Genomic DNA, 19,442 nt, shown 5'->3' on the forward strand with positions numbered 1-19,442 from the left:
AACACTCGTGTTTCCTGGGGGCCAAAATGTTCCAGCTTCTGGGCCAGGTTAATTATCTGAATTATCTTATTTCATCCTTACATTGGGAACCAGATGTCCCCAATGCCCTTCAGTGATTTTTTTGGTGGCTTTGAGGAAAAATGAGGCCCAGAGAGGTTATGTAACTTGTCCAAAGTCACACAGCAGGTAGATTTAAAGTCAAACAGTTAGCTCCCAATGTGCACACTCTTAATTACCATGCCACTAAACCAGACTCTGAACAAAGCACTCTGGGAGCACAGAGAAGACCTCTGAGGGTCTGTCTGTGTGAGTCTAGGGCATGTTCAAAGTTAAGAGCTGATGTTTAGCTCAGCAGGAAAGGGCTGGGGCACAGTGTTGGATACACATATCAGGTGGCATTTATTGCTGATGACAGTAAAAGAAAAGTGTAAAACAAGATAATTTGTTTACATTTCAAGATACATTAAGTTTTTTTTTTTTTTTTTTTTTGAGATAAGAGTCTTGCTCGGTTGCCCAGGCTGGAGTGCAGTGGCGCAATCTCAGCTCACTGCAACCTCCGCCTCTCGGGTTCAAGTGATTCTCGTGCCTCAGCCTCCCGAATAGCTGGGACTACAGGCGTGTACCACCACGCCCGGCTAATTTTTGTATTTTTAGTAGAGATGGGGTTTTACCATATTGGTCAGTCTGGTCTTGAACTCCTGGCCTCAAGTGGTCCACCCACCTCGGTCTCCCAAAGTGCTGGGATTACAGGCGTGAGCCACTGTGCCCGGCCTCAAGATGCATTAAGTTTTAAAGGCCCCTGGTTATTTCTCGTCTTCTGAGATGTCATTCCAGTGTGACATGGTTAACATCAGTGAGGATGGCATTCCTGTCCCACACAGTAAAATGTCACCTCTCACACATGTAACTCTGGGTGTAAAGTGAGTAAAAATATGAGACTTAGAAGAATATTTCATCATGGTATGCTGACTGGGGATTTCACTTACTGATACTAGAAAGGTTTTGCATTTCAGAACACGATGAAATAGGTAATATTTATCTGAAAGACGCAGACAAGTGGTGGAGGAACCAGACACCCCCAGTGCCATTTGCTGGCTTTTATCAGACAGAAAGCAGAAAGGAGAAACATGTTTTATCCCATGAGAAGGAAATATTGGCTTGATGCCTACCATGCCCAGCCTTGCACTAGACATCCAGGTAGCTGCTCCATGGAGAAGTTCACAGGGTGGTCAGGATAGCACAGGGAGGAGGTAATACGCTTGAGGGAAGTCCAGGAGGGACTCAGGGAGTGTAAGCCAGTAGGGGGGTGCTCCTGAGAAAGGGAATGAGGCTGTGCCTTGAAAGACTGATTAGATAGAGGAGGAAGTGAAGCATCAGAGGCTGCCCAACAGAGGCAGGAGCTGGGGCTGGGGTGGGCAAGGAGAAAATCACGCCATCCTCCTGTGTGGACAGTAGAGTTTCATCTGCTGAGGGCAGAGGCCATGTTTTATCCATCTCTGTCCCCTTCTATGTCCCTTTTTCTCCTCCCTTCCCCATTCCCTGGCATCATATTGGGACTTGTTAAGGGCTGAATTGTGTCCCATCCCAAATTCGTATGGTGCCACCCCAACTCCAGTACCTTGGAATGTGACCGTATTTGGAGAAAGGGTCTCTGAAGAGGTAATTAAGGTAAAATGAGGTCATATGGGTGGCCTCTAATTCAATATGACTTGTGTCCTTATAAAAGGAGATTAAGAGCACACCAACATGGCACACGTATACATATGTAACAAACCTGCACATTGTGCACATGTACCCTAGAACTTAAAGTATAATAAAAGAAAAAGAAAAAAAAAGGAGATTAGGATATAGACATACACAGAGGGAAGACCCACATGACAACATAGCAAGTAGGTGGTCATCTACAAGCCAAGGAGAGAGGGAGGCCTCAGAAGAAACCACCCTGCCAACAACTTGGTCTCAGACTTCCAGCCATCAGAGCTGTGAGGCAATACATTTCTGTTGTCAGTCTCTAATACTTTGTTATAGTAGCTCAAGCAAACTAATAATCCAGTGCTCAACATATTTTTGTTGAATAAAAGCACAAAGAGATTCATGAGAAGAGGGAAATGTTGCATACTTAGGGTAGGAGCAAACCACAGAGGTCTTTCTCAGCCTGGGCAAAGAATGTCAACTCTGTGTTGGAGCCAGTAGGGAGCTCTGTGGGTCCTCGAGCAGGAAAATCCCATGGCTTAAGCAGTGTTTCAGGAAGACTGGGATGTTAGGCTCCGGAGCTCTGAGCAAGTCAGATGGGACTGGGAGTCATAAGAAGGCTTGACTGTGGCTAGTGATAACCAATGAGCACTGGAAACATGGAGGGGAATCTTTCCTCCCTTTTATATCAGGGTTCTCTCCTAGAGGAGCAGGTGAGGACCTCTGATGGACCAGGAAATTGGAATTCTGCCTGGGAGGCAAGCCCATGGAGGCCCTGATCTGCTTGGACAGAGAGTAGCTCCCTTCACCTGTAAAATGAGAGTGAACGAGCTGGTGTCTAAGGAATTCAGAATCCACACCCATGGAGTTCCACAGGGTATGTGGGATTTTAGGGGGACCAGGGTGTCCCCAGTGCAAGAAGGAGGCTCCCACCAAGGGGCTGCAGCACTGCAGATAACCCCCAGGGGTATGAAAAGAGGCTGAACTGGGGGCCTCCACAGTCAGAATCCATCCATTGACCCAGGATGCCAGGAAGGGGGAGGCCCATGGGCAGCAGAGGCTCAACGAACTCCGTGGCCTGACTTGGCCACTAGGTTTTTTCAGCTCTTCAGCCACTGCCTGTAGGAGGCTAGCTGGCATTCCTTCCTTGGCCCTTAGCTTGCATGGATCGGGGTTTCACGTTAAATTCTAAGCCCAATAACATGGCTCTTTTTATTTAAACTCAGTGCTGCACAATGATGAATGAATGAATGAAAGATCAGGGCAGATGAACTGTCAAACCTCAGCAGTTGCCCTTATAGTTAGAGGTGTTTCTGTGAAGCAAATCAAAGCTTATAGTATCAAGAACTTTTTAAAAAAGTACACTTTGATCCAAGTTGGATGTTATTTCTAAGTGTACTCAGGGTGAACACCTCTTAAAACCCCTTATTATGTATGCTGAGCTATTCTGAACCTCAGTGAGAAATCAGTAATGTCAAGAAACCTATACATAATTATTTGTTATAATATAAAAATCCAGAGCTCTTCAAGCATTATTCTATCCTAGTTGGTCAGATTCTGCAGGAATCTGAGCCTGAAGGAAAATAAATTCCTTGAGTTGAAGAAATTTGTGTCTTGTAAAAAAGCTGAATGAGAAATAACGTTAAAAATGGAAGGAGGCCTAATGATGATATTATGCCATCTCTTGTCATTACTTAGTCCTCTGTTGTTTCAGTCATTTAATCTGGTTTTCTTTCTGGATGCTTTAACTTCCATCTTAATTTTCCTTATAATTGTTGTGCAATTATAAAAGACAATCTGAGGGACCCGCCTTGACAGCCTGGGGTAATATCACTGGGAGTAGGATCTCTCAGAATGCTAAGGAGCAGATGCACTAAGAGAGCTGCATTTCACTCCATTTTATTGGATCTTTTGGTATATACGTTTCTGTGACTTTAGTTCAATGGGATGGACTGTTGCATAATACTGAGGGCTATATGAAGGAGGAGTCGTCTACACTTGTAAAAACCTTCTTCTTTAGGGGTGGGTAGTGTATAATTGCAAAGGCATTTCTGATTTAATTAAGAGTTGTTTGGTTGGCCGGGCGTGGTGGCTCACGCTTGTAATCCCAGCACTTTGGGAGGCTGAGGTGGGAGGATCATGAGGTCAGGAGATCGAGACCATCCTGGCTAACACGGTGAAACCCCGTCTCTACTAAAAATACAAAAAATTAGCCAGGCGTGGTGTTGGGTGCCTGTAGTCCCAGCTACTTGGGAGGCTGAGGCAGGAGAATGGCGTGAACCCTGGAGGCGGAGCTTGCAGCGAGCCCAGATCGCGCCACCGCACTCCCGCCTGGGTGACAGAGTGAGACTCCGTCTCAAAAAAAAAAAAAAAAAAAAAAGAGTTTTTTGGTTACAAGTGACGGAAAACTCAATTCAAAGTGGTTTAAGCAAAATCCAGAGTTTTACCATCTCATGTAAGTGAACAATCTAGGAAAAGGGCGTCATACATACAGCTCAAAATGAAGTCAAGATATTTCAGATCTGTCTTCTCCTCCTGGCCCAGTTTTTAATGCTTTGACCCCATTCTCAAATAAACTCAACCCTCATGATCCCGAGGTGGCTGCCATTTGTCCTTTCAGGTCCAAATCCAGCAGGAAAAACTTTTGTCACAGCATTCCTGTAAAAGGTATGAGGTTCGCCCTGATTGGACCAGCCGAGGTCACATGCCTACACATGAGCCAATCACAGTGGATAAAGGACTGTGATGTACTCATTAATTTACCCGCCATTATCTCCACTCCTGTCCTGAGGGTGGAGTTATGAAGCTTGCTAATGGGGCACTAGGATGTCCACTAGGTTTTACTCAGTGACATAGGTGACCCACTAAATTTAAGCATATTGGTGTGCAAAGGAGGCATTTGTTGACTTGCAAGTAGACACCTCTCACTTATTTGTCACACTCGCTCTTCCTTTTGTAAGCTTCCTGGGAGAGGGATCTCAGTGGCTTTCAAGATCACCCCTTGCAAATTAGGCATCATGCCCATCATTCCATCCCCTGTGTGAGATGGCGGCAGAACAGTTCCTATTCAGACACCTGCCCTCATGCCTCTTCCCCCGTCCTCCCAGCAGCCCCAGCTCCTGGTTCCCAGCATCTAGCTCCTTCCTTATCAGCACAGGGAGTTGCTTTTTGTTTGTTTGTGTTTGAGAAAGACTTCTTATTTCGTGCATGCACATTTCCTTTCTGTGAAGCAGACTCGGGAGCTTTGCCTTTCTGACTTATTCTGTGCATCCTATCAGTGAAGTCAGTGAGTGGCTTCAAAAATGCTTGCTTTCTTTCTTTTTCTTTTCTTTTCTTTTTTTTTTTTTTTTGAGACGGAGTTTCGCTCTTGTTGCCCTGGCTGGAGTGCAGTGGTGCGACCTCGGCTCACCGCAACCTCCGCCTCCCGGGTTCAAGCTATTCTCTTGCCTCAGCCTCCCGAGTAGCTGGGATTACAGGCGCCTGCCACTGTGCCCAGCTAATTTTTGGTATTTTTAGTAGAGACAGGATTTCACCATGTTGGCCAGGCTGGTCTGGAACTCCTGACCTCAGGTGATCCTCCTGCCTCAGCCTCCCAAAGTGCTGGGATTACAGGCATGAGCCACCGCTCCCAGCATTTTGTTTGTTTGTTTGTTTGTTTGTTTTAGACAGAGTCTGGCTCTGTCACCTAGGCTGGAGTGTAGTGGCGTGATCTTGGCTCACTGCAACCTTCACCTCCTGGGTTCAAGCCACTCTCCTGCCTCAGCCTCCCAAGTAGCTGGGATTATAGTCACCCACCACCGTGCCCAGCTAATTTTTTTGTATTTTTAGTAGAGACTGGGTTTTGCCGTGTTGGCCAGGCTGATGTGGAACTCCTCACCTCAGGTGATCCACCCGCCTCGGTCTCACAAAGTGTTGGGATTACAGGCATGAGCCACCGCTCCTGACCCAAAATACCTTTTTCTTTTTTTTTTTTTTTTTGAGACGGAGTCTGGTTCTGTCGCCCAGGCAGGAGTGCAGTGGCTCGATCTGGGCTCACTGCAAGCTCCGCCTCCTGGGTTCACGCCATTCTCCTGCCTCAGCCTCCCGTGTAGCTGGGACTACAGGCGCCCGCCACCACACCTGGCTAATTTTTTTTTGTATTTTTAGTAGAGACGGGGTTTCACCGTGTGAGCCAGGATGGTCTCGATCTCCTGACCTCGTGATCCACCTGCCTCAGCCTCCCGAAGTGCTGGGATTACAGGTGTGAGCCACTGCTCCCGGCCCCAAAATACTTTCTGATGCTGATAAAATGTTTTGTCTACTCTTATGCCCAAGGAACAGTTCCTCCCTTAGCAGAAGTTAGTGGTTAAAGCTTCCTCTATGTTTGCCAGTCAAGAATGCCACAGGGCCAGCCTAAGTGTCCATGAGTGGATGAGTGGATAAAGAAATGCAGCACACACACGTATATACACAATGGAATACTATTCAGCTTTTAAAATGAGGAAATCCTGACATTTGCAACAACATGGATGAACCTGGAGGACATTATGTTAAGTGAAATAAATTAGGCACAGAAAGACAAACAACACATGATCTCACTTATACGTGATATAGAAAAAAGTTGAACTTACAGAAGTAGAGAGTCGAATGGTGGTTACCAGGCATTGGCAGGGATAGGGTAATGGGGAGATATTGTTCAAAGGATACAAAAGTTCAGATAGATAGGCGAAATAAACTTAAGAGATCTACTGTACAACATGTGACTCTAGTTAATAGCAATGTATTGTATTCTGAAATTATTGAGAGTAAATTTTAATTGTCTTCACCATAAAAGATAAGTATATGTGAATTAGCTCAATTGAGCCATTCCTTAATGCTTATTTCCAAACATCATGTTACACAGTAAATGTAATAGAGTTTTTGTCAATTAAAAAAATTACCAAAAAATAAAAAATGAATTCCATAGAGACGTTCTCTCCAGGAAGGGTCCCCTTCCTAGATCTGACTACTGGTTAGGGTTAATCAATGCCCCTTGGCAAAACAAAACCAACCCCACATTTCTTCATCTCCCATGTCCAAGACACATGCAGTGAGTTCTCAGTGTTTACTACCAGCACACAAATGATGGCTGCTTTATTATTTGGTGACCTTTGTTGTTTGCTGTGATTGTTCTGTTCAGTTTTAGTCCCTCACAGCACTTTCGGCCATTTAGAAAGACAGTATTTGTTCTGCTAGAGCATTTGCAATCTGTTTCTGATTAGCTTAACTGGTCTTGACCAGTGCTAAGTTCACACTTCAGCTTTGATTTATGCCGTCTCTATCTGCAGATATGTTTCTTGTTACACTATACAAGAGGAGGCCTCTTCTTATTGACTTCTTATTTTCATGTGAACGAGGTAATAGGTATCAGGAATAATTAGACAAGGCCATACGCGCTAATGTCATAGGAGACTGAGATATGGAGAGTAAATAATAACAAAATTCCTGATTACTAGGGCATAGAAAAAAAATCATAGGCAACTCCCCAAGTTGATAATCCCAAATGTCTAGGCGTCCTTCTCAAATAGGGAAACGTGACATTAAAACTACTCAAAATAAATGAGACTCAGTGGTATTTATAACCATAGATAAAAAAGAGCAAGGGTCCTGGGGAACTGTGCCAAGGCCCAGCCCTTTGATTCACAAGTATCCACAAAAACAGACTGTACGGGCTGCTTTCAAGAGAAAATGTGGCCATCAAGGTCAACACTGGAAGCCCTATGGCCACTCATTCATTCCATCTCATTGGCCCTGAGCCTTTCGAAAAGTAGGCAGAGAAGAAGCCCAAAGAACAACATGGCAGGCAGGTTAAGGAAGAAAGCAGAGTTCACAGACATCACTAACAATTTCGTAATGACCTCATGACTTCGCTGGAAGGATTCCAGTGGAGGCGTCACCAGCCCTTTGTCCACCTCTTAGGCTGAGAACCTCAAAGGTTGCCCACACCTTGACCACATACTTTCTTCCTTTTCTTACACAATCAAGCTCTGCACCAAACATTAGGGGGACATTTGCATTTTCATTATATTCATGCGTATTTCTAGCAAAATACAAATTCTTACAAGATGTTGACTTGTACAGTGTGGCAAGGAATACTGTCATACAGTTGTGCCAAAAACAAGCCCATTTACTTATTTTTTTAAAAATTAATTATATATAATTCTTATAAAATAACAAATTCCATTTATTTCCTCTTGATCTCTGTCATCAGAGACATTTGAAGGTCGGAGGTGGGTTCAATTGAAAGACATAATGCACTTGACAAGTTGTTGTATGTGTGCATTGTGAATAGGCCTTAACAGTGCATTCATTTGTTTTATTTTTTCCCATTTATACAGACTTTTGTTCTGCTCTTAGATAAAATACTAATAAACAGGAAGTTGAAAAAAAAATGTGGTGCAATTGTTCTGAATGTTGTTTTTCTTGCAAGGCTTTATGGGCTACACCACACCATCCTATTCAAAGCAGTCCCTGTAGGTGGTGGTGTTAATAAAGAAATGAGGCTGCCCAGGGCCGCCTGCCTGAGCCTCTCTGCAGCTGCTCACCTCCTGCTGAGGCCTCTGCCTTCAGAGCTAGTGGGGCCTGCTCACACATTCCAGTAGTTTCCTCTTTATTTGTCCTGAACCAAGTTGTAGAATTTAAAGGAGGTGAAGTAAGGCGATTTCTATGGAAAATATATTTTTCTTCTTTACTCCTCATGCTGAGTGCATAAGAATTTATTATTTCCCCTGAATGTTCAAAGTGGTGTGTGTGTGTGTGTAAAAGAACCAGGAGCAAACAATCTTAATAGGAATGTGCGATCTTGTGTTTATCTTTAGCACACTTAATTAGCTACAACCCGGGACTGTTGCCATTTGAACAAGTTGTTAAGAAAATCTGCCATGTTTTGCTCTTTTTTAAAAGGAATGACTTTAATAACCATAGCAACACTTACTCAGTTTTGTGATCCACTCCAAGATTATGGGAGCAAGAACAGATACTCCTGAAAGCAACCCTCACCTCCTCCCCCGCCCCCTGCCCTCAGCAAGTCCTGGCCTGTGTGAACTGAAGGGTTTGGAAGCTCTGGTTTCTAGGAGTGCCCAGAAGCTAGAAAGACTAGGGTGTACTAGTTATTGAGGGGCAGTTGTCAGTGGCAGTGTGGGGGCACCCCAGTTGTTATTCGAGGCACTGCATTGCTTTTTTGTCTCCTCTGTAAGCATCCTGCCTCAGTGTCAGGGCTTGCAGAACTAGGCCTGGAGTTATGCCCCCTACCCAACCAAGGCTTTGCCTTTTGCCCCCCACTATGGTGCCACCTACTTGGGTTTCCCACAGTTGGTAGTGCCAGGCAGGAAGCAGGAGTGCAGGTTGCAGGAAGGGAGAGCAGAGGAAACAGAAGTTGCTTAGGAGGGAGTTGGGCAGGCTCTGTCCCCAGCAGATCCAAGGGTCCCTGACAAAGAGAACACCTCACCTCCGCCCCTCCCCAGAGGCACACAGAATGCCCCCTCCCACCACCTCCAGGCTGTTAATTCACACCCACCCAGGCTGCCCCCAGGCTCCCCAGACCTGTGCCAGTCAAGCCTGGCCTGTGGCTGTGACACCTGCATTACCCCAGACGGTTGCCTGACCTAGGCCTGTCCTTCTATCTGCTTTGTTTTTATGTTGATTACTAGGTGAAGCACAGTGTTAAAAACGGGAAGAAAAGGCTAGGAATGCAGTTATGGGAGTGTGAGGCTGGGTTGGAATAGGTGGGAGAAAGTCCAGGGCTGAGTGTGTGGACCCTGCTCTAGGGATCTGACCGGCTCAAGCTCCCAGGCCATTAAACAAAGTTGTTAATGAAAAAAAAAAAAAAAAAAAAGGGAGAGAGTAAACAAATCTCTCCTCTGTTATTCTGCACCTGGAGAAAAGTAAACCCCTTGGGCATAATAGGCTGTCACCAATTAGACATCCGGGAAAGGCTTTTCTGGGTTTAGCCCTTTTGGGGAAGCATGGGGGTAGATGTAAGTGTGTGAACCTTCACCCAAGTTCTGGAGAAGGATTCCAGAGTGAAAGAGGTTTCCATGCTGAGTCTTGCATTTAAGGGACCTTCCATGGCATAGCTGCAAAGAAACCTGAATTGCCCAGGATTAACCACCTTTCCTTTAGACGGTGAGCAGTGTGTTTCACGAACACATTACACATTTTAGGGTTGTCTATGGAGGTATCGGCACTTTCATTACTATTTTTAACATTTTATTCTCTGTTCAGGGTTAAGAACTTCACCCACCTAAGTCAGCTCCTGATACAACATGGAATGTTCCAGCAATGAAATGTGAACTTAAGATATTTGGATTAAAACCCCAAAGTTGAGTCAGGTTTAAATATTCTGCAAGAAGCAGTGAGCTCCTTTTGTCTATTTGGGCACAGTTTTCGTGAATTATTTAGGCTTTTCTTAGATGCCTGAGCTCCGTGGTTAGACAGCAGATAAGTTATTTTTCCCTTTAATGCTGAGGCATTTTCACTGATTTCAGTCTTACTCATTAGAAAATTCTGTGCTCACCCACAGCTGCCAGGGTTTCTAGAACACAACACCCTACCTTCTCCTGTAGACATTTTAGTCCGTCCTCGCTCCTGCACTGTGGCTTTCACAGTCAAATGTGAGTTGACCAGCCGTCATTTGTGAGCTGTGAGCGGTATTTTTGGAACTTGCCCACCCCCGTTCCCCCAGAGTCCTGTGGAGGTCATGCTCATGGGTTCTGCCACCGGGACAGGAAAGTTTGGACATTACTACCAAAAAAATGCAACGTGACTAAGCACCGTTTAAAATAGCCTTTCTTATTCTCTTGTAAAATTGCAGGGATTTCCATGACAGATGTCGTTTTAGTCATTTTAAAACTTCAGCGCGCTGAACCTCATCAGCATATTTTTATTTTTGACATTTCATATTTTAGAGTGGATTGAAAACTAATTTGATCCATTTCAATTTGGAACATCCCTCAAGGTCATTTTACCAGCATTTAGGCCAGTGTTGATCTTGCTTTCATTTTAAACATAGTTATTTTCTCTCTGTGAAGTGATTACTCCTTGCTTGGTGTGTGGTCTGGTGACTTGTTAATTTCAAAATTCTACGATGCAAGCGGGTTTGGACGTGGAGCCTGGCCCGGTGTGGCCAGGCTGTGGCTTTGCCCATCGCAACGGCTGCCTTTGCCTCAAATGGCTCGAGGCTGGCACCTGGTCAATATTTGCTTTTGTCCAAAAGAAGGAAACAGTAGGGGACTTGGGTGGTGTAATTTTAGAACTTTACTGTTGGGTTGTTGGCTTGAAAGATCCATTCTCTTCTATAAATACAGATACATATTTACTCCTCCAACCTTTCCCTCCACACAATTAAGAAACCCTACAATTAATTATGCCAAATCAAGATTTGCTTTTCTACATGATTTTTTCCCTTTTCCCTAGGAAGTCTGTAATGAATTTTCTTCTTTATTGTAATATTTTATGTTTTTATATACACTTGTATATTCTTATAGCACATATATGTATATATGCAAACTTTCTGAGGCTTCTAAAAAAGAGAAATAATATTGGTTGATTAACCTCAATTTCTTTTCAATATCAAATGTGTAACAATAACCCCAAAAGGAGAGGTTTCAGAAATTAAAACAAGTTGACATTTGCCCACTTCTGAATTAAAATGCAGCATTTGACTTTTGTACTGTTTTGGCTGTCAAGCCTTAGTTTTTTCACACTATCAGGTATTTTCAGATCAAAGGTAAATATGATTTAGAATTATATTTCAAATTAGAACTGTCATATGCCCACACATACATTTTGCTGATATACTTACAAACTGGTAAACAATGCTCTTTAATCAACAATTCATAATCTGGGTCAGCGATTTTTATCTCCATATTTGCTCATACTGTATGACATCAATATTTTATATTGGCTTGCCCATAACTTAATATTTTATAAAAGCCTACCTATGAAATTCATATTTCATATTTGCTTGGCTATGAAATTAATTTTTGTGATGCTGCAGTTCACCTTGTAGCATACAAATTGAGAAAATTAGCAAGCTGCATGTAGTTCCTTGCTGTACAAAAACAAATGACACATGGTGTCTTTATCACTTGTTTTGTATTTACAGATAAATTTTAAAAATAAAACTTGCCATTTCTGTTAACGTGGAAAACTCCCCACCCCACTCCCATTCTTGTTGACTCTTTTTTATTTTTAAACAACAAATACATAATCAACTTCAGTCATCTCATTTTCAGGGGAGTTACTCATTGTATTTTCTACTTACAGTCACCGGGGCTGATGTTGGGATCTGTGATCAGTTTCCTGTTGTTACGCATAGCTTTTCTCAGCGGTGAGAGAGACATCATGTACAGAGTACACACGGAGGGTTGAGATAGCAGCCTGGTTTATCTTACTTCTGATATGACTTTTAAAATATTGATTTTAAAAGTGTGTCTTTGAGTGTACCAAAATAGTATGTCCCTGATGCTTCTCGCTGGATGCAATCCCTGCGCAAATGCTTTCTATGCAATTAGATTTTGGGGCTCAGCTTCCATTTTTTAAATCTGTGAAAGCATTGATCATGCCAGCGGCCCTGGAGAGGGCCACTCTGTTTTAGTGCCATTTACATGTATCAGGACAGGACAGAAAAGGGACAGCATATTACAAACAAAATAAAACTATAATCTTGTTCAATCCTTGTCATGCTGAGGATGTTTGTAAATATAAAAAAAATTGTATGGATTCCACTTACATGAGATAACTGGAGGGGTTAGATTCATAGAGAAAGAAATTAGAGCAGTGGTTACTAGTGGCTGGAGGCAAGGGGGGGAATGAGGAGTTATTGTTTAATGGGGACAGAGTTTCTGTCTGGGAAGATGAAAAAGCTCTGGAGATGGATGGTGGTGATAGCTACACCACAGTGAGTGTACTTAATACCACTGAAGAGTACACTTAAAAAATGGTTAAAATAGTAAATTTTATGCTATGCCTATTTTAGCACAATAAAATAATACACATTCATGGAAACAGGGCATTTAAATCATTATGCATAATAAAGTGAGAAGCTAGTTGTGATTTGCAAAGAATTATAGAAATTATAGGGAGAAACACAATCTCAAGAGCCACCCTGGAGTCCAGAGCTCTCGTTTTACAGATTCAGGAGTGGAGGCTCAAAGAATATATGCTTTCTTAATGACTGGAACCCAGACGGCAGGACCCCCACACAGGGCTCCTTGCTGACCCTTTGCTGCCTTCCCCCCTCCCTTAGAGGGGCCATTCTTTATTCTGAGTAAACGTGCCACTGATTAGATGGGCTTCATGATAAAGACCTGCAGTAAGGACGTTTTAATCCTTTAATCTAGACGGTTCACGAGTTCCACTGGTGTGTCTCTGGGGGCAGGCTCCCAGATCACAGACTGGTTCCACCGTGCCCCGTGACCTCAGCGTGCCATTAGATGGGAGGCCGTTATTTCAGGGGAAAAATCATGTTTGAAACTAAGTGGGTCCCCGGCAGTTTGCAGCAACACTGGCTGCTCAAAAGGACAGCACGAGGCTTTTCACAGCATGTAGATGCCATGGCTTTATGAGAGCTTTGAGCTTGGGAGGGTCTACTTGTGCTTTTGCAACCTTAGTTTAGATTTCATTTGCATCTACTATTTGTAAGTGCACCATTTTTCTACGGGAAGTATGTATGTGAGAATTATCTACATGATTTTTGTAGGTGGCTCACAAAACAAATGTCAGTAGCCATTCTATGGCCTTGGAGTATCATTTCCCACACCTTTTCTATGGACTGTCTTTATTTTTGACTCTAATACGTATCCCTTATCATACAAAAAGTTCTTGAGCATATTTGATATATTTTAAAACTTCCACCCCAGTGGAATTAACACTAATTATATTTAATTCCACACAAACTTTTGTCCCAGTTGTAGACCATTTACCTACTTCCTGACAGCAAACACTACACCGCTGTGAAATTTTATTTTAACACATTTGTGCCCATTTTCAGCATTAATAATCGTGTGTGGAAGTGGCAGCAAAATGAAGATATCGCCTGAGCATGGAACCACAAATGCCTGAACGTGTGATGGCATTTGTGAAACAAAAGCATGACATACTTTTTCTTTCCAAATGAGGCAGTGCCACAACTAAAAAAGCCAGTTCGCCTTTCGCTTTCTAAAATCATCTTGCTGGAGAGAACGGTTATCAAATCCCATCCACTGCCCATGTAAAATAAATACCATTCAGAAAAGCGTGGCATGGATGGCCATACTTCTGATGGGTTTATAACTGTAGATTGCATACGATCCCAACGTGAAGCCTGAAATACGACATTCAACGTCAGGCTTATTCCAGGCTACTGCTGTGGCTACTTTTGTAATTCAACCAGTGGGGCGTTTTAGGCTAACGTATATTGCCTCTAAGCTGATAAGCATTTTCCTGATCCCAGGCCCCTTCTAAAATTGAACACACACGTTCAGCTGGGGACACCTAGATGGAAGGAAGGGAAAGAGGAGAACCCGAAGTGAAGGAAAAGTCACCAAGAACAGTTTCATGGAAAAAAAAAAAAAAACTCTCAAGAATTAAGAATGTTGAGTTGCTTGAATGGAGCTTGGGCAGGAAAAAGACCATAACTCTCACACACGTGAAGGTTACTGATACCCAGGAGGTAAAAGAAGTATTTAACATGCTCTAAAGAAGGGTAACCAGAGTAATGGGGCGAAACCAAGGGAGGACGTCCTGGAATGTAATATTAGAAATAAACTTCCAAACAGGGAAGTGTCCATCCGAGTGTGAAATGGGTTTATCAGAAACAAGCTGCATGCCAGTTTCATTGACATTGCAAAGAAGGTTAGAATAAAAAGCTAATGAACAGAAAGAAGAAAGAGGCAAACAGGGTGTGTGTTGAGAGTGGTGGAATATGAAGGATGGTGCATTTGTCCAGGCTGGGGCTGCTGGCCTGAGGAATGGTGGTGGAGTTTTTTTACAGAGCATCTTCTGAGCACCAGGAGAGTCCCGGAAGCTGAGTTTGACACTAGCAAGACCTGCCCTGAATTGGGGACTGCTGGATGCCTGGAAGCTCCCCTACACTTACGTTCCTGAAGTTGGGCTTTTTATCACCTTAGGACTATGGCTTCCCAAACTTGGCAGTCAGCGTCCCGGCAAAAGCCTCTCTATTACTGCGAGGTAGTGTTTATGGAGTCACAGCTAAGAATTACAGAAAAAATCATAATAGGTGAATCTTTTTTTTTTAAAAAAAACAACATTTTTTGACTTTGCAAATAAATTGCAGAATTATCACCATTGTTGAAATATTTTCCATTAAAACTAGAGTTTATTAAAAGTGCCTGGAAGGATGCCCCCTGCTGCCTCCCTGAGTCATCGCTTTGGATTTGTTCTTCAGAGGCAGAGATTTATTTCCATAGCAGGGGTTTTCAGTTTTGTGCTTACAGTCCCGCAGTAAGTCTTACTGGCTTCATCTTCTGACCTGCTTTTAAAACAGTCCTCCACCGTGCTAGGTACACAAAGGGATACTTTTTGGGTTTTTTTGAGACAGAGTCTCGCTCTGTCACCCGGGCTGGAGTGCAGTGGTGTGATCTCAGCTCACTGCAACTTCTGCCTCCCAGGTTCAAACAATTCTAGTGCCTCAGTCTCCCGAGTAGCTAGGACTACAGGTACGCATCACCACACCTGAATAATTTTTTTTTTTTGTATTTTTGGTAGAAACAGGGTTTTGCCATGTTGGCCAGACTGGTCTCAAACTCCTGACCTCAGGTGATCTGCCTGTCTCGGCCTCCCAGAGTGCTGGGATTATAGGCGTGAACCACTGTGCTGGGCCCAAAGTGAAACTATTATAACAAGGTAAGAGCAACTTTTCCCAGAGTTAAAGGATGGTGCTCCATGGAATAGTGAAAGTCTGGGACCAAAGCACCTTTTCCCTTTAATTTCTCCAATTGCTTTTAAAATATTCTATGCAATAAGCATCTGAGTCCAAAGGGAGGCTGTGTCTTCCTCTAGGGTCTCTCTGAATGAGGTCAGTTTCTATGTTAACTTTTACGCTTCCTTTTTTGTCTCATCCCAAACCATTTCTCCTCTTGTCATCCTCTTTTTCCTCCTCCTTTTCCTTCTTATTTCTCCTGTTGCCTTTTTTCTACCTTTTTATTTTTTGCCAATATACATAAAATTGCTTGTTAAAAAAAGATCAAAGACAGCATTTTTATATTTTTTTCTTAAAAAACAATATGAAGGGCTGGGCACGGTGGCTCATGCCTGTAATCCCAGCACTTTGGGAGGCCAAGGTGGGCGGATCATGAGCTCAGGGGTTCAAGACCAGCCTGGCCAACGTAGTGAAACCCCGTCTCTACTAAAAACAAAAAAATTAGCTGGGCATGGTGGCGCACACCTGTAGTCCCAGCTACTCGGGAGGCTGAGGCAGGAGAATTGCTTGAACCTGGGAGGCAGAGGTTGCAGTGAGCTGAGATCGCTCCACTGCACTCCGGTTTGGGCAACAGAGCGAGACTTTGTCTCAAAAAAAAAAAAAAAGAAGTTAAACCATGAAACCACCCATAATATATTAGTCTTCAGAAAGAAAAGAAAACCAAGGTAAGATGCAAATAACAGAAGTACAACTTTTATTTTTCTAATTGTGGAGTGACTCCAAGAGGATTCTGCTCCCACCAGGTGGGCGATAGGCGTCCTGTTGGTGGCGTGTAAAGGAATGGAAAGCTACCACGACCTGGGGGGTCCAAGAGGGGCTGCTGCAGGTAGCCTACCCCCCCAGCCTTCCCCATGACCACAGCCACCCACTCCCTCAAAGTGGGACTTCAGGCCAAGCAGGGGAAGATCTCAGGCGAGGAGAAACAGTCCATCCGAGAGCTCCCTGGGAGAATCTTGTAGACTACACGCTAATGAGATAGGCCTGTCGCCAAAGGTCACCTCCGCACTGTCTTGGCCACAAATGAGGCCTGAAATCCTGCTATTAGAGTTGCACACACACAGGAGCCTCCTCTGGGAGTTCTGTTAACCACTGGTCTGGGAGAAGAGACGGCACAGATGGCCTCCCCAGTCTTTCCAGGGCAGAGCGGTGGGGGCGGGAAGGAAAGGAAGTGCCGAGTAGTTCAGGAGAGGGGGTGGGCATGGGGTTGGGGGGCAGCCTGGGGACACTATGGCCCCATCCTAGCCTGGTGGGAGCTAGAGGAACAGGGAAAGTAAGTCTAAAGTAAGCTAGACTCAGGAAAGGGAAAGAAAACTCTGCGTGTCTTTTTTTCTTTCCTTCTTTTCCTGACACACATAGTCTTGTGCTCTCTCTGGGCTGGTTCCACTAGTGCAGCGATGCTATGGGGGAGGGGCCCAGGGCCCTGATAACAGGTGGGCGTGTGTCAAATAGCAACTCAACCAATGAATGAATGAATCTGCCTCTCCTACCTCTCCGGACAGTTTTGAAGTTTAGGTGAAACCATGTGTACAAAAGCTCCTGTGAACTGGGAGACACTTTGCAATCCCAAAGTGGTTAATAATAAAAATAGTAATACTTTTAAAAAATCATAACAAATAATAATAATGCTATTGGAACCATCAATCTAATACACTTTTTTTCTGTGAGAGACTTATTGGATTCTTTCCTTGGCATGAAAGCCCTGCTTCTCCCAACACAGGCAGGCTCCCTCTGGCACAGGGTGATTGCATCATAGACCTGACCCAACGTGACAGAGAAGCGGTTCTTTCTGAGTTACCAATGGCCATCCATCTTTCAGCAGGCGTGCCTTCCCATTTTCCTTGCTCTGCCCATGAGAATTTTCAGCAGAACCTTGGATTAGGTGTGCCAGACATGTTCTACTCTTGATTGTGAAGATTATACACACTCTCACCTTCTGAGATAAATGTTATTAAATTGGATAAACAACCTTGTGTAGTTTTGCTTTTCTGTTTTATCTCAAGATCCTGCTGACATGGCTAACAGGGCAACTGTGAAAAGATTTTTATTCGTGTCTACATCAGTGTGAAAGGCTTCATCCTGGTGTGTACTAATCACTCAGACAGTGGTATGAATAAATGAAGGAATGCATTGACAAACTAATACACAAGGTGATTCCGGAAAGGCGCACCTCCTGGGATAAATACGGTGACAGTGGTGAGTCTGCTCTAGGTCTACGAAGTTCTTGCTCTTAGTAGAGATCCAGACACCCAATGTTGAAGACAGTTCCTCTTTGCTTTAGAAAGCTTTGTGTGCAAGAGATGGCAAACTACTTCTTAAAAAACAGAGAGTCCCGTAAACATATGCCAAGGTCCACGGTGCTCCAGGCAGGGTGCTTGGTGCCAGAGAGACAGAGTGAACTGAGCTGGCCATGGCATCTGTCCTGGAGAAGTCACACTCCAATCAGGAAGGCAGGAATGTGGGCCAGACCTACAGCCTCTGGGGAAGGGTGTCCATAAGCTGTGAGGTGGTGGCTACTGACTCCAATGGCAGAGAAGGTGTGGTAAAAAGGCAAGGACATCTGCAATCCTTCTCTAACTCTTGACTTATTGTTATCTGCAGCAGGTTAACCACCCCTCTGTTAACTTCCTTCTCTCTAATGAGGATATTAAGAGTAGTTGCCTCAGAAGGTTGAGCAAATTTGGTAATTTACACAATGTGTAGTTGTCCCTTGGTATCCATGGGGAATTGATTCTAGGATCTCCTATGGATATCAAACTCCAAGGATGCTCAAGTCTCTGATACAAACTGGCATAATATTTGCCTGTAACCTACACAGATCCTCTTGTGTACTTTAAATAATCTCTAGATTACTTATAATATCTAATGCAACATAAATACTATGTAAACACTTGTTATGATATTTTTATTGGCATTATTTTTATTGTTTTATTATTTTTAAATATTTCAATCCATAGTGGGTTGAATCCAGTAATGTGGAACCCACAGATATAGAGGCCAAGATACCTCAATGATTGGCAGTTCCAGCATTGCCCATCTCCCTGTACCAATCTGTGCCAACCTCGGAACTGTGGTTGAGTCCCAAGCTAGGGGGTCGGTTCACACCATCCATCCCACCACTGCAGCAGATGCTCACCCAGCGTCAACTCTGAACCAAACACCATTCTGGGCAGGGGCGAAGGTGAGAAGCACAGACCTTGGCCCTGCTCTCCCCTCCTCAGGAGCCCAGCAGAGCCAGTCCCCACAGGTGGGACTCCACTACCCAAGGGAAGCCTGAGGCATGAGGCCTGTGTGTTGCTCAGTGACCGGGTCCATCCTCCCAGTGCCAGAGAAAAGGAGGTGCCCCTCAAACCACAAAGTAACCCTTGGACTTCTCTTTAGCTGGGGTGGTGGCTGCTGGAGAGGGCCCTGCTTGCTCATCTCTGCCAGCTTCCCAGTCCCTGCAACCAGCAGTGGCCAGCCTCTGGCCACCCCCATGAAAGCACATAAAAGGGTTGGGGAAGCCGCAACCCCAGAATTGAGGTGAGCTAGAGTTTGAGGACATAGGTTGCTTTTCACTTATCTCCAGCAAGAACCATGTTATAGATCATTGGTACAGTGACGATTTTATGCTTCTAATTGAATACTGATGAAAAATGGCAATGGTTTCTCAGTTACTTCTTGGAAATAAATTGTGGGTAAATAACATCTGCTTAAAGCTTGGAAACCCAGTTTCCTTTGGTTTGTGTTTTTAAATGCTTTGACGATGCGGTTTGCTTTTTTACTCCAAGAAAAAAAAAACAATTAAATAGAGGCTGACAACTAGGTGAGATCC

General features: G+C 44.0%; 2 long non-coding RNA genes across 6 annotated transcripts in view; both read left to right on the forward strand.

The window, feature by feature from the left end:
• Nucleotides 1-19,442, forward strand: part of CYTOR (cytoskeleton regulator RNA) — a 66,092-nt gene that overhangs the window by 32,643 nt on the left and 14,007 nt on the right. The gene's annotated exons all lie outside the window — the stretch shown is intronic.
• Nucleotides 1-19,442, forward strand: part of NCAL1 (NK cell activity associated lncRNA 1) — a 282,375-nt gene that overhangs the window by 32,591 nt on the left and 230,342 nt on the right. The gene's annotated exons all lie outside the window — the stretch shown is intronic.

The sequence above is a fragment of the Homo sapiens genome, chromosome 2 (genome assembly GCF_000001405.40).
Source record: "Homo sapiens chromosome 2, GRCh38.p14 Primary Assembly".
In the NCBI taxonomy this organism is placed as follows: domain Eukaryota; kingdom Metazoa; phylum Chordata; class Mammalia; order Primates; family Hominidae; genus Homo; species Homo sapiens.